The sequence below is a fragment of the Homo sapiens genome, chromosome 2 (genome assembly GCF_000001405.40).
Source record: "Homo sapiens chromosome 2, GRCh38.p14 Primary Assembly".
Lineage (NCBI taxonomy): Eukaryota > Metazoa > Chordata > Mammalia > Primates > Hominidae > Homo > Homo sapiens.
This window is the reverse complement of record NC_000002.12, coordinates 138744365-138759929: the sequence shown is the minus strand read 5'-3', so window position 1 is coordinate 138759929 and position 15565 is coordinate 138744365. Positions and strand designations below refer to the sequence as shown.

The 15565-nt window shown below is 37.8% G+C and overlaps 1 protein-coding gene across 1 annotated transcript in view, besides 1 other annotated feature; it reads left to right on the top strand.

Annotated features, from left to right (window-relative positions):
- NXPH2 (neurexophilin 2) overlaps nt 1–15565 on the top strand; it is a 111234-nt gene that overhangs the window by 20461 nt on the left and 75208 nt on the right. The window lies entirely within an intron of this gene.
- Nucleotides 4749–5250: an enhancer, noted in NCBI's record as "NANOG hESC enhancer chr2:139512250-139512751 (GRCh37/hg19 assembly coordinates)". NCBI's record gives its function as "activates a minimal SCP1, AML or CMV promoter by ChIP-STARR-seq in naive H9 embryonic stem cells {active_cell/tissue: H9 hESC(naive)}" and the evidence as "EXISTENCE:reporter gene assay evidence [ECO:0000049][PMID:30033119]".

Here is a 15565-nt window from a genome sequence, read left to right as displayed (position 1 = left end):
GTGAAATCCCATCTCTATTAAAAATACAAAAAATTAGCCGGGCGTGGTGGCAGGTGCCTATAGTCCCAGCTAAGCGGGAGGCTGAGGCAGGAGAATGGCGTGAACCTGGGAGGCGGAGGTTGCAGTGAGCCGAGATTGCGCTACTGCACTCCAGCCTGGACCACAGAGCAAGACTCCGTCTCAAAAAAAAAAAAAAAAAAGGTGGCATAGGAGCCTGTGGCAGTGGTTGTCACAATCTCTATCCATACCCGCTTTGTCTTTTGTAAAATTCCAGGATGACTAATAAGATAGGTGTGGCTCGTGATATACAAGTGGAAATTTGCTGAGCATTATTTCTGGGAAATCCTCTTTAAAAAAAAAAAATTAGAATAAGGGTAAAGTGGGCTGGCAATCTTTCTGTCCTTGGTACTCTGCCCATTTCCCACCTTCCCACCTGGAATGTAGACTTGTAGCTAGGGGGTGCAGCAGCCATCCTGTGAACATGAGGGAGCAAGCATGGACCAAGAGCTACCTCTCTCTTGGACCAAGCATAGACCAAGAGCAGAGAATAGTGATGGGCAAAGCCTGGTGGCACAGAGGGCATTGTGGACCCTCTGTGCCACCACTAGCCTGCTTGCTTCATGACTTCTTGTTTCTTGAATCCATGCCTCTTTAAGCCACTGTTGTAAGCTTTTGCTATTTGAAATATCACATTGCCTTCATAAAGGATACTAAAACATTTTTTGAAATGTGCCACCTTAATAAAAACACCCACTATCAAGGGCAGTTGTGAATCATTGTGCAAAAGATGTATTGGTTAAAAAAATTGAAAAAAGGAAAGAAATTTCTTTTAATGTCTGGAAAAATGATGCACCAGAGTCTTTTGAAGTTCAAAAGAAGTTAAAAAGAGTGTTCAAATGTCAATCTATTACTCCCCCAGCATACCTGGTCACAAATTGCTTTATAACTGGGGTGGGTGGCTGCAAAATTGCCTCAGGACCTGAGATGATAAGTTTTATATCTGTCAAGGTATCCAGAGGAAACACTTTCATGACATAAGCATATTGTGATATAGAGATTCAACCAGCTGTCTCTCATTTTTCAGAAGATTGGAGTGGCTTGGGACCACTTGTGAGCAAACTTTTTGCTGGTGTTTTTGGTGAGGTACAACTGGTGTTAAGTACATTCTGATGACATCAGATTTCTCCAGACATGGTCAACCAGTCAGGGACAAGATCCACCAGGCCACAGTCTCTAATTGTGAGTCTTTCAATTTTGAGAGCTGGAAATTTGCAAATGCAAGCATATAACTTGACAAACTAAAGACATATGATGGTTAAGCAGGGTATGTTTCATCAGGAAGTCCCATGGTGGGAGCAGGTGGAGACATGAGGCATGAAGAGAAACACTATTGTGAGTGGAACACTGGCTTGGGAGCAGGAAATTGAACTTTAGTCTTGGTTCTTCCTGTCCATTAGTTAGATGACCTTGAGCAAGTCAAAATGTCATGAAAGCTCAATTACTTCCCTGTAAATAAGGAGATAGAATATGAACTTTCAGTTATGCTTAGACTTAAAATTCTGTGATTCTGCAGAATTTTCTCAAGAATGGAGGAATGTGATCCTTGGTGCCAGAGCAGAATTCAGGCAGAGGTGTCCTAGGATCCTGGGTAGATCCTCAGTAATACTATTTAATAGTATTATAGATAGACCCTAGGAAATAATATTTAAAATCAGCAATCAGCTTTGTCAAAAGAGGTGCAGTATCATCCAGTGATGATTTTTCATTTTTCTTGAGTTTCTATCATAAAAGGGTTTTGGCCTTTTATGAGATTTAGTCTGTGGATTTAGAAGATGATAGAAATTTCTCTAAAAACATGAGTCTATTTGAGAGTCTTAACATGTTCGTCTTTGGTTCATTCATCCTTGTGCTTCCCCATCTCTCATTCTCAGAGCTTGTTGAAAGCCACATCTTAACAATGCTTTTCATGCCAGCATTCCCATCCCTCAGGAACGTGACTTTGGTAGAAAATTCATTAAGGTATGTATCAGTCAGGGTTCAACCAAGCAAGTGGAACCAGTGGGAGATAGATAGATAGATAGATAGATAGATAGATAGATAGATAGATAGATAGATAAAGAAACACACACATATACATACATACACATACATACACACATGCACACACACACATATATAAGAGAGTGAGGTATTTTTATCTGTGTGTGCATACACATAAATAGATTTATTATGGGGATGGTTGGCCTTACACAATTTAGAGGCTGGGTAATCAGTCTCTGTAAGCCTGTTTTCTCTGTGTCTCATGCTGCAGCATGAATTCCACAGGGCAGGCAGTCAGGAAGGGGAGATCACAAGCAGGCAAGAACTGACAAGCATAAACGGGAATGCCACAAGGACGGACAGAAACCTAGGTCAGCTCTGGTTAACTCTGACCTTGGTTACAAGGGTATCCTGCTGAAGCTAGGGCCCTTCTTCAGAGAGTTACACACACACCTGACCCAGATGTCAGAGAAAGTGGAGGAGGACCCAAGGGAAGGTGGAATCATTATAGGCCTGCTGCTGCTTCATGTTCATGCAGCAGATCGGCAGCAGCACATGTGTGTCTTCTTCCTTACGCCTTCTACATCTCAGAAGAATCTCTCTCATGGCCCATCTAACCCAGCATAGAAGGAAATTCTGAGAAATGTAGTTCAGCCTAGCCAACATTTCCTACCATTACAAGGCCATTGTTGTAGGAAATATGAGGAAATGGGAAGCATATTTCTTGCCCTGAAGAACTTTATAGTATGCTTAAATTAATGGAAATCTCTATGTAAAGTGTTCAATACAATTCTTATAAACTGCTGGCTTCCTTTCTCAGGTAGCCTTGCATTGTGATAGATTTAAACCTATTTTAAATCTTTTTTATTAAAGACATACTACTTCAGATTGTATAGATGGTCACATTTCCACAAAATAAAAAAGACAGTGTTATGTTACTTTGCTTAGAGTAAGAGTTTAGTTAGTTATTAGAATGAGTAAGTCACATACCCACTGAATATTGCTTCATTCCTTCATTGGTCCAAAATTAAGGCTATAATTTAATACAATAAATTACCTCTTAGTCCACTTAACTGATTTGCCAGCCTAACTAGTGGCTTTGATTCCCCTGTCAGATATACTAACTAGTCTTGTGGAACACTGAGAGTTTGAGGCCATGAGCGAAAACTTCTGCTTCTGCCAATAGAGTTGCTATTATTATATCAGTGTTCTTTTGTATCCAACGTATTTATGCCACCTCCACTTGTTATTGTGATACTGTAATTTAATTAATTATTATTGTGGATTGATAAAAATTGTTTCCCAAGAGCAAGAGATTTTCTTTCATAAAAATTCAGTTAAACACTTTTGAAAGATTAAGTAAAAGCTACTTTTTTAAATAGCTGGGGAAATTAGCATGACCAACGCATTTGAAACATAAAAAGGCAAAAAAAAAAAAAAGTCCTAAAATTTTAAGCACATTCTGCACCTAGATTTCTTTTCAAGTGTGTCCATTTTGGGGGTGCTTAAAATAATTGGTGCTGAAAAATCTTAGAGTAAGTGTGGTTTCTGCAAGAAATATAACACATAACACCCATTCTGAGGGAAACATATCTTGGCCTAACAGTGAAAGATTGGCATTATATGTTTTGATCAAAATGAAAAAGATTTATATTGGAAGTTCTAGCTAGTTCAATAAGACAAGAAAACAAAATCAATGGTGTTCATATTAGAAAGGAAGAAATAAAACTGATTACATAAAGAGTAATTAATAAATATTCATTTAATTAATAAATATTACATTATTGAATAAGTAGAAAAATCCCAAAGAATCAATACAAAGAACAATAAAAACTCCTGGAATGAATAAGTGAGTATGGCAAGGTCTCAGGATACAAGGTTAGTAAGTTCATTTGTTTCCTGTATACCAGTAAAGAACAACTGGAATTTGAAATCTGAAACATCCAGTTTTACAATGGCACCAAAAAATATTGAAATATTTAAGTATAAATCTTATAAAATATGTACATGATCTATATGTGAAAAACTACAAGACACTGATGAAAGAAAACAAAAAAAAATCTAAATAAATGGAGAGCCAGTGCATGTTTGTGAATTGGAAAACTCAATATTGTTAAAATGTCATTTATTCCTAACTTGATCAACAGAGTCAATGCAATACCAATTTAAATTCAAGCAGGCTACTTCGCAGATATTGCAAACTGGCTCTAAAATTTTTATAGAAAGTCCAATACCTAGAATATCCAACATAATACTGAGAAACAAAACTGAAGGGCTCACATTACCTGATTTTAAGACTTACTATTAGGCTGTAGTATTCAATACACCATGGTATTGGTTAAAAAAAGCAAATATAGACACATAGATCAATGGTGCAAAAAAGAGAACTAAGAAACAGCCCTGCACAAATATAGTCAGCTGATTTTTGACAAAGGAACAAAGGCAATTCAATGGAGAAAGTATAGCCTTTTCAACAAATGATGCTGGAACAGTTGGTCATTCATATGCAACATATGTATGTAGACATAAAACTTACACCTTTCACAGCAGTAATTCAAAACAGACCATAGACATAAATTTAAAATGCAAAACTACAAAACTTCTAGAAAAAAACCACAGGAGAAAATCTATGTGACCTTGGGTCATATAGAGGCACACTTTGCGAAAGAAAAAATTGACAGCTTGAACCTTATTGTAATTAAAAACTTCTCAGTGAAAGCACTATTAAAAGAATGAAAAGATAAGCCGTATACTGAGATATATATGCTGAATATATATCTGATAAAGAACTTGTATGCAACATATACAAAGAATTCTTAGAACTCAACAGTAAAAAGCAATTTAAAGATGGCCAAAAGATCTGATACCTAATCATAGAAGATGTACTGATAACACATAAACATATGTAAAGATGCTTAACATCATTTGTCATTCATGATTGAACATTTAAACAACTAGAAGATACCACAATACACATAAGAATGCCTAAAATCCACCAAAATCTAACAATACCAATTACTGATTAGGATGCAAAGCAACAGGAACTCTCATTCATTGCTGATCAAAACACAAAATTGTATTGCAATTTTGGGATGTAGCTTGACTGTAATATTTGGAAGACAGTTTGACAGCTTCTTATAAAGCTAAATGTATTTTTATTATATGACCCAGGAATTGAACTCCCAGATATTTACCCAATAGGTTTGAAAACTTATTTCCACAAAAAATGTCTGCATGCAAATGTTTATAGCAGCTTTATTTATAATTACAAAGAACTGGAAGCACACAAGCTGTGCTTCTATAGTTAAACAGATAAACAAGCCATGGTACCTTCATACAATGAAATACTATTCAGTGATAAAAACAATTTGAGCTACCAAACCATGAAAATGTATAAATGAACCTTTAATGCACACTGCTGAGTAAAAGAAGCCAGTCTAAAAGACCACACACTTTCTAATTCCAATTATGTGACATTCTGGAAAAGGTAAAGCTATAGAGATGGTAAAAAGATCAGTGGTTGCCAAAGGTTCAGAGGGAAGGGGAAGGTTTGGATAGTGAAGGACAGGCTGTATTTTAGTCTGGTGAAACTATTCTATATGATACTCTAATGGTGGATATGTGATGCTATGCATTTGTTAAAGTCCATACAATTTTCCAGTGTGGTGACTGAATCCTTACATATGTAAACTTAAAAAATCAATAAAGAGGCTGGGGGATTTCAGGATGAAATACAAAATATGACAAAATAGCCTAATTGTATTAAAATTATTTGAAACTGTAGTCCCAGGTATTTGGGAGGCTGGGATGGGAGGGAATCACTGGAGCCCAGGAGTGTGAGTCCAGACTGGCAACACAGCAAGATCCCACCTCAAAAAACAAACAACAAAAAAAATTGAAATAACCTCACTGAAGAGGATAGGGAGGGGGTGATGTTTCCTGATCTAAGTAATTGTATATATGAATGATGAGTGGAGTCTGTAAAACTAACAGCAAGAAACTGTATATAAGCACTGTACTCTAGTTAATAAAGTTATTTTCCATGGAGTTGTAGGTTAACAATTCTTGTGTCACAATACATGAATACTGGAATAGATCAATTAAGTCAATGTATGGTGTACAGTGGGAGCTGGATTTCTCACTCTGAAGCTGGAATTTACAGATATCAAGGGGAGGAGGCTACAGTGATCTATTTGGTGATGAATTAGAGTTGGTGACATCTGTAGACACTCAGTTTTAGTTTAATGCAGATACACATGGTTGCACATAAAAATATTTATAGATATATGTATATATTTACAAGTTAGCATACACATATATATTTTCTTGCTCTTACCAGCTGAGAGGGCCTGAAAACAAAACACTCCAGTAGCAATGAGCATGCCTAGAAACCAGATTTTGGTTTCTAATACCATTTTTCATACAAGAAAAGAATTAAGGCTTCTTGGAGAAATGACTGATTCTAGAACCTGGGCAGGAAATATACAACATGGTCCTAGAGTGTCTTGTAGTGCCAGAAAGTAAGGAGATGCTCAAAAACAAAATTATCAACACAAACCACAAGCAAACCCTCACTGTCACAAGGACCCAGGAGCCAACTGAAAGAACCCTCAGTGGTCAAATCTTGGTCAATGTGAACAACAGAGTAAATTAACATTAGATTATAACCCAAAGTATAAAATCAATAACCATTTATCCTTACTGATATAAATTATTGAATAAACAAATGAGGAATAATAAATTTCCCATGCAGAAGGATTCCAAATGGTTTATATAGATACTTCACCCTCAAGGAGGGGAAACATAACTTAAGCGTGGGCTGTGCATAATAACTTCCTTCGAGACAATACCGTATGAAAAGGGGAAACATAAATTTATAATGGAGAAAGCTGACAGCCATACCTCATCCAGATGATCAAGGTTAAAATTAACGTAATGTCATGTTGATTTTATATATCCTTAACACAGTGGATGAAAAACAGCATGTTGTCTATGTAGTATTCCTCTCCCAAACATGTAATCCCAGTCTGATTATGGGAAAAACATCAGACAAGTTCCACTTGTAGCACATTCTTTAAAAACCTGACCAGCATTCCTCAAAACTGCTAAGGTCGTCGGAAACAAAGAAAGTCTGAGAAACTGCCACAGCCAAGAGGAGTCCAGGAGACACGATAGCTAAATGGAATGCGTACCTGGATGGGATCCCGGAACAGGAAAAGGACCTTAGGAGAGAACTGAGGAAATCTGAACAAAGTATGGGCTTCAGTTCATAATAATATATCAATATTGGTTTATTAATAATATCAAATATACAATACTAATATAAGATGTTGAAACTAGGGAAATTAGGTGTGATGTATATGGGAACTCTGCTTTCTTGACAATTTTATGCAAACTTAAAACTGTTCTGGCATTAAAAGTATGTTTAAAATGTGTAAGACAGTGTATGATGTATGAGGTTGTACATGTCTCAGATGTAGATATCTCTTTTGAACTGGCCCAGTGCCAGACCTAAAGGCATCAGATAAGAGGCCCTCTCCTGAATTCTCCGTTGTTAATTTTGTGCCAAGAACTCTACTGGATGCCTGAGTTTTATTATCTCATTCAATCCCCATCACAACCCCACCGGGACAGTGTTTTTCTTTCAATCTAGGGATAAGGAGTCTGATGCTGAGAGAAAATGAGGGATTTGTCAGAATCCTGGGCCTAGTAAATAAGATTTGAGTGTAAAAGAAATCATATGTGGACTTTCTCTCTTTACATTGCCTTATCGCATTGTTAGATACAGGAGGCCTTTAATAATGTTGTTAGCTAAAATTAAATCATTCTTTATTGCTTTATTCTCAAAATTTATTTCTTATCCTTTTGGGCCTCTATTTCATAGTTCAATGTATTTTTGAAACCAAACTCAAAGTAATTTAAGCATCTCAAATATTCCTAGAGTTATCTCTCCACAGTCTCAGCAATGTCTGTTATTCAGTTCAGTATTGAGCACTTCTGAGTATTACATTTAGGACTTACCATTACAATTTAAATTCAGTATTACTTACAACCTTTCAAATAAGAATTGAAGACACCCTGGAAAAAATATGATAACATTAATTTTAAAAAATCTAAACAGAATTATGAGGGAATAAATAAATACTTTAACCATAAAGGTTAATACACTTATTATAATTCATCATGAAAGCTGACACTATTTTATCTGGTGGCCAAGAAAAATAAGGAAATATGGTTATATTATATGTCTCCTTTGAAGAGAGAACATACCAGTTTCTCAGAGAGGCAAAACTTTCCCCTGTTAGAAAGTCTGAATGGATTTATTAGGATATTTTAAGGAGGTAAAAGGAAAAAATTGTTCACAATAGTTTCACAGCCAATATGGAAATAAAATTTATATGGTTGTTTCTCATAAAATCTGACAAACAGATTGAAGCCATAATAATAAAAGGCAATTCAAAGCACATAGTTATTTGAGATGATGTTATAATGTAGTTCATGTATTTTGGAATACATTCCAAATTTTAAGTTGAGGATATATTAGACAACTGAGAGAAGTATATAGTTAACCTTGTTCTTAAAATTATCTTCCCTAAATATTATCTTTCTTATCTGGGTTTCTGTGGGTAGCTGGATCTCAGAGTGTGATCTGTACTGCTACTGATTCCATGCACAAATGTTTTTGCCAAGTACCTTCTGTGTCAAGATATTCTGGTTCATTTGACAACTAGTTACTTGCTCTCATGAGCATATATTCTAGCAGAAAGATAGAAAATAGCAGTAAGTCTCTAGGAGACTGTTGGGCAGTAAAGGATGCTATGCAGGAAACACAGGGTAATGAGAAAGAGATGGGGGTGGGGGTGGGGAGGGGACGTGGGGTTAAGCAGGAGAGCACAGCTTTATAGAGGGTTGCAAGAGAAGGCCTAGATGACTTGGCATTTGATCTGAGCCCAGAGTGAAGTGAAGAAGCCAGACATGGAAACATCCGAACAAGATCCAATCACCTCCTACCAGGTCCCACCTCCAACACTGAGGATTACAATTCAATATGAGATTTGGTGGGGACACAGATCCTACTCATATCAAGCCTGTACTATTTAGATTTTTATGGTTGTTGTTGTTGTCTTGAAGTTACTGAGACTGTGTATACATCTCTTTTTACTTGTAATTTAATTTTTAAAGTGATATTTTTGTCCAGCAGATTTGCCATCATTCACTTATCTGCAAGACCTTCATAGGTAGGGACTGGGTCTTATTCACCTTTGTGTCTCTAATACCTAGGCATAGTTCCTGGGCTGTAGCAGCACTCAATAAATATTTGCTGAATAAATAACTGGACAAATGAATGAGATTTCAATCTGCTGGTTCACATTTACAGCTCTACTTCTGATGATGTTTATAACTCTACAATTTGGCTATTTACTAGATAAATACTTGTCTTAAAATGTCATGAGTTTTTTTTATTTTAGTACCCCAAAATGATGAATTACTTAATCCTTCATTTGCTTATGCCCCAGTGTATATTTGGACTATGTATTAATGTTTAGAATGAAATTATTTGCATATATTCCAGGTTACTTACTCTATTTACTTCATGAGAGATGTTAAAACCAGAACACAACTTTTACATTCACAAAATGCTTCTTTGAGCATAGTATATGGTGAGCTATAAAAGAAGCATCATTTCAATCTTCATCATGGAAAAGAATAAAGAAGACTTGTATTTTGGAAGTAAAAAAAATCTGCATTATTATTTTTATCCTATAGAAGCCTCCTGTCACCCTGAACATCATCGTGTATGTATCCCTTGTGTATTTTCTGTTAAGACGGAGAAGAAAACGATGTTTAAATTGAAATGTCTTCTAATCAGTGAAATGCCTACTATGCTATTTTCTTTGTCTTATTTGAGACTGGACACCTGTGGCCCTGGGTTCCTGGGTTCAACCTGACTTCTAAGCATCATTTGAAATGATGAAACAAAACAGTCCCTTTAAATAAGCGACACACTCTGTTTTATACAGATACTAGGAAACGCTTGCATTGGTCTTAAGTTTGTAGAAGAATATTTGCTCAATTAAATTTTATCTCTTACAAAGAACAAAATCTAGGTTGTGGTGTTTTTATAAGAGAAATGTTTCATGTCAGTGAAATTTATTATTTTATTCTGACATTATAAATTGTATTCTTAACTATTTGTGATTTAAAATTACTTTTTTTCTGCAACTGTCTTCAAAACCTTGAATATCTTTATTTTATTTTTACACTAATAATTCTGCTCAGGATAAAGAGGCAGATGAAAGATAAAGCATAAAGAAACCTCTTAATTCTTGAACGTGTATTAAATTATTATTTTAAATAAAAATTTACACTGAACATTTTGTACATTTGGGATCCATTATTGGAAAATGTTTAAAACATGTCAATAATCAAAGCTAAAGTATATAAAAGGAATTTTATAAACATAAAGGTATATCATTAATGTAAGGTATTATCATTAATAATAACTTTACTAGTTGTGTTGGTCCATTCTCACACTGCCATAAAGATACTGCCCAAGACAAGGAAAGAGGTTTAATTGACTCAAAGTTCCATATGGCTAGAGAGGCCTCAGGAAACTTACAATTATGTTGGAAGGGGAAGCAAGCATGTCTTTCTTCACATGGCAGCAGGAGAGAGAAGAGTGAGCAAAGGAGGAACTTGCCAAACACTTACAAAACCATTAGACCTCCTGAGAACTCACTCACTATTGTGATAATAGCATGGGGGAAACTGCCCCGTGATCTAGTCACCTCCCACCAGGATCCTCCCTCAACATCTGAGGATTAAAATTCAAGGTGAAATTTGCCTAACAATATCACTAATGAAATAAAAGCCATAATGAAACCTAAAACTTTAGGACTAGATGAAGTAAAGTCATAAGAAATTATGTCCTTTTGGTAAGAGCAGTAGTGAAAAAGCAAAAATGCAAAACTGCTTTTCTTTGATTCTTTTTATTATATAATCAGAGCATCCCTTACGCTTGCTGATCACAATGCATAATTTTATTTTTTTAATGTCTTTTTTAGTCTAACTTCAGGTGCTCTGCTTTGTACACTGATTCATCTTATTATTAGCTTTGCAATAATGTGCCATCTTTGATTTCTAAAAGTTAATCCAATAGTCAGTAAGTAGAAGCTTCTTCTTTTACTATTTAAATATGACAATTTCTTCTTTCTGTAATAAATACAGTTTCCATGGTATTACTGTATGTGTGTGCATGTGTGTATGTGTGTGCGTGCATGTAAGAGAGAGAGAGGGAAAGAGAGAGAGAATTTCAGATGCAGGCATTCTTTATTTCTAATTTATTTCTATCCATTTCAGCAATAAATTGTTCCAGGCACTACCACATTTTTTGCACACCGTTTGTTATTTGTACTCTATTCTTGTCCTATAATTGTCCCAGATTGGACCATATTGGAGAAACAGCCTAGAAAGTGGCCTTGTTGGGCAACAGGATGCCTCATTGCAATGCTGACCTGCAGAAGATACAAATGATGATATCGAGTTAACACCTAATGAGCTTTCATTCTCAAACACTACTGAAAGCCTTACAGCAGTCCTCACTGAGTCAACCGAGATAGATGTAACTGTCTCATTCCTGTGTTCCAGATTAGAAACTGAGGCTAGAGTGCTTAAGCAAACTTTAATTGCTCATTGTCCTTTTTCCTTCGTGACACATGGCAGTGTTACTTGCACCTAGCACAGTGCCTCCCACATGACAACATCGTGAAACACTGGATAAATGAATACATGAAGTAATTTACCCTGGTAAATGGCAAAGCTGATAAAGGGACCCATAGCTCAACTCTAGACCCACTCACTTAGCATCAAAACTATGTCAGAGGGAAGATGTTAAAATCATCCTGGAGAAATAAGTCCAGAAGTAGTGATCAGAGCAAAGACAGCCTGAAGGTGAGAGCCTCTAGGGAAGGTGTGGAGGAGAAAATAGAGCTGAGGCAAGGTAGATGGAAGCAGTAAACTGAAACTGGAGAGAAGGGAGGCAGCGTAGACAAATTCTGGAGAGATGGTTGATATCCCTCAATGGGTTTTATGAGTCCTTGGAAAACATCTTCTGTGGTCAGGCTAGTGGACTTCAAGAAGAGAGGGGACTCCCCCAGTCCTTCTCAGGCCTATGTAACAGGAAGGGTAGGCCCAGCCAGAGTGACTGAATTCAGATAAAAGATCCTAAAGTACACTACCACGTATGCATGGTGAGACTTATGGCCCCCTTTTTGACACCCACTCTTCCTAGATCCAACCAGGGAATAGCAGAACCTCCAATGTTACAAGGGTGCCATTTTCTAGAGATATCCATTAATACCATGAGGGTCTGACAGCCATGGGAGGGGACAGGTCACAATCAGGGGCCAAGTGTACCACACGGGGCCCCTTCACAGCCTTTGGGATTACATTCAGCTTTCCAGTTGGACCTTCAGTGCTCCATCCAGTTAGTGTCAAAGCACAGTCCCAGAATGAGGGCAGGTACCTCTCTGACTTCTTATCCTAATATCCAGCCCCTCCTCAAGCAATGCGCCCAACAACTACCAGCCCCAGAACACCTGACATCCAGCAAGGTTCACTGGGCAAGGGCATCAATTTTCTTTCCCTGCTTGATCTCCTTTAAGCTTAATAAGAACTGAATTGTCAACTTTGTCCACCCTCAGGATGCATGATAAACGTGCATGAATATTCATCACAGCACTACGTATGGTAGCAAATAATTAGGAATGACCTAAACGTCCATCAATAGGAGAATGTTCAAATATCTTGAGATTTATCTTCACAGCAGAGTATTTAACCTTAGGTGGGAGGGGAATATAATGTATTTGATGAAACCTTGATTTGGGTTGTTATCTACATATTTAAAAGAAGCTTCTTGCAAGATTTAGAAAAAACAAGGGTACCCTCTTTTCAGGATCAGGGCCAGGCACTGCGTTTATCATACAGTCACTTCTCTTTTGCTGTCTTCTGCTTCAAAACCCTTTTTTATAGGAAATTTCTTTGAGAAAAAGAAAATGAAAGGCAGTATGTGGTGGCAGTGGGAACTTCTGTGGGTTAGACAACACCAACAGCAGAATTCTCATGTGAAATTGATGGTAGGAATTTGGTCAGTGATAGTGGGGTCTTGGAGCTTTAAGTAAGAGAGGCCAAGGTGAGTAGGTTATGAGCAAGAGAGAGCAGTAGTCTTTTGGATGTCTTCCCATGTGCTCAATTTGACATTTCATTTACAAGAAATATTAGCTTCCTGGAGGACTGACAATGTCCTCATCCATTGTGGCAGTTTTGGGAAGCTGGGCCTACCAAGAAGGGCTTGCCCACCAAAGCTTCTTGTTGCCCTGAGGTCTGTCACAGACTAACCCTAAAGTCAGATACAGGTCACCATTCATCCTCTGTCTGGCTGGAGCCAGGCACGAGGGAGCATGGAAAGCTTTGGCCAGTTCCTCCCCAAGGGAGGTTCTTAGTTTCAGTCATGTCCCCAGGTGCCTGGAGGCAAAGTGAACTGCCGCTTCACAGGACACAAGTTGCACCTCTACTGAATAGCTTGTCCTTTCTTGAGGTCCCAGTAGGGAACAAGCACAGGCAGATAACAGAGGGATTGATGGGAGCTGTGAAGAAGTCTCCATAGGTACCCAGGGACATCTCTATTTTGTAAAATTGAAAATTGAGAATTTGGTGTGCTTGGCTGCTATTGCAGGCTCAATGTGCAGCATCCTCTAACACCTTCTTAGAATGGGCTCAAGGTGCCAACCTAGTCCATTCAGACAGCTTCCATACAGGACGACGAATTCCCCTGTGTGCTGCCACCTTCCTTGTCTCCTCTCCCCACGACTATCAGCACTGCCACCAGAATTCCAGAATCTGTGGATGGCTATTTTGACCATCTCTTGGTGGACTAGGCCACCAGCCGTGTTATCACCCAATGGAGTTATGACTCTTTAATTATTTTGTATTTATGGGCCGTATCAAATTTCTTAAATAAAACATTAGAGATAGATACAACTAAACCACCTTCCTGCTTCTTCCCCCCACCCTATAATTGAATTCCTCTCTTTCTCACTCCATAGGTAACAGCTGTCCTGAAATTGTTGGATAGATGTGCCTGGCATTTGCAAATGTTTGTTTAACCCAACATTATGTTTCCAAGATTTTTCCATTTTAAAACATAATGTCTTTCATTTTTATTGCTATAATATGTACCAGTATATAACTATGCCACAATTTGTTTATTGATTCTCTTATTGATGCTCTTTCATGTTTCTCTATTTTTCTGTTATTAGAAAGTATTACACAATTAACTTTTTGCGTAAGACTTTAGAACTATAAAGAAAAACATGCAAACAACACCCCCCCCCCCCCGCCAAAAAAAGAAGAAAAGGATGTGCATAGGCATTGCACCGAAGTGGAAACTTAAGTGGCCAGTACACAATTAGCTTGCTTAACTCACTAATAGTCACTAGCAAAAAGATTCTATTCCATATCCATGTATGTCTTTGAGAGAAGGTAGGCAAGTTGACACTCGTATGCACTGCTGGTGAGAGTGTAAATTGGTAAAACTACTTAAGAAAGCAATTTGTTAATATATGGTTCAAATCCTACAACCTATTGATCCTGTTTCAGGGAATGGCCCTCACTCTACTTCTCCTTTGTAGCATTAAGATGAAAAGCATTATGCATTCAGTTTTCCCAGTATGCTGGGCACCTGGCATGCCCAGCTACAGCTGCAACCAAGAAAACAAGAAGGGCAGCTTGAGAAGGTTAGTCTTAGGGGCAGCAGTCACAGAGGAGTGATGGAAATCAGGTCGTGTTTTCATCATTGCAGCAGCTGCAGCTGTTTCCTTTGCTCTGCCAGCCATACATGGAGAGCTGACAGCTGGGCTCACATTTCTGTACTTGCACCTAAAGCCTGCGTGGCTAAGAGTCCTGCACTCTCCAGGAACATTCCTCACATCATTTTCCACAGCATGTGGGCATGGAGATGGGAAAAAGTCCTCTGGAAGCAGCTGTCTACACTCAGAGATCCTTTGTCTAGGCAGGGAAGAAGTGAGCTTGATTCGTGGTCCTTACATGGTGGGGCTAGAGCCAGGAAGAGTTCTATTCATCACACAGTGGGAAAAAGCAGACCTTAAGGACCAGTGCCCGAGAGAGAGTGACTGGGAAGCATGTTCAAGCAGGTCCGTAAAGTAAGAGAGGCTCAAGAAAAGGAAGAAGGCTTGGAGCACCTGGAGGAGGGAGACATAGGGAAGATAGTAGATTAAATAGCAGATTAAACGCATCAGTAACTGTAGGGAGGCTGGGATCAGATAGACACCTACCCAGTGTCAAAACATTGATCTGATCAAAGAAAATATTGGTCCAAAAGATGCCTTTGGGTACTAATGGAACAGCCAGTTTATTTTTTTTTTTAAGGAATGATGTGAAGTAGTCAGGCTAGAACCAAAGATAACAATGCATTACTATTCTCTCTCATTCCCTCCCTCTGGAAAAG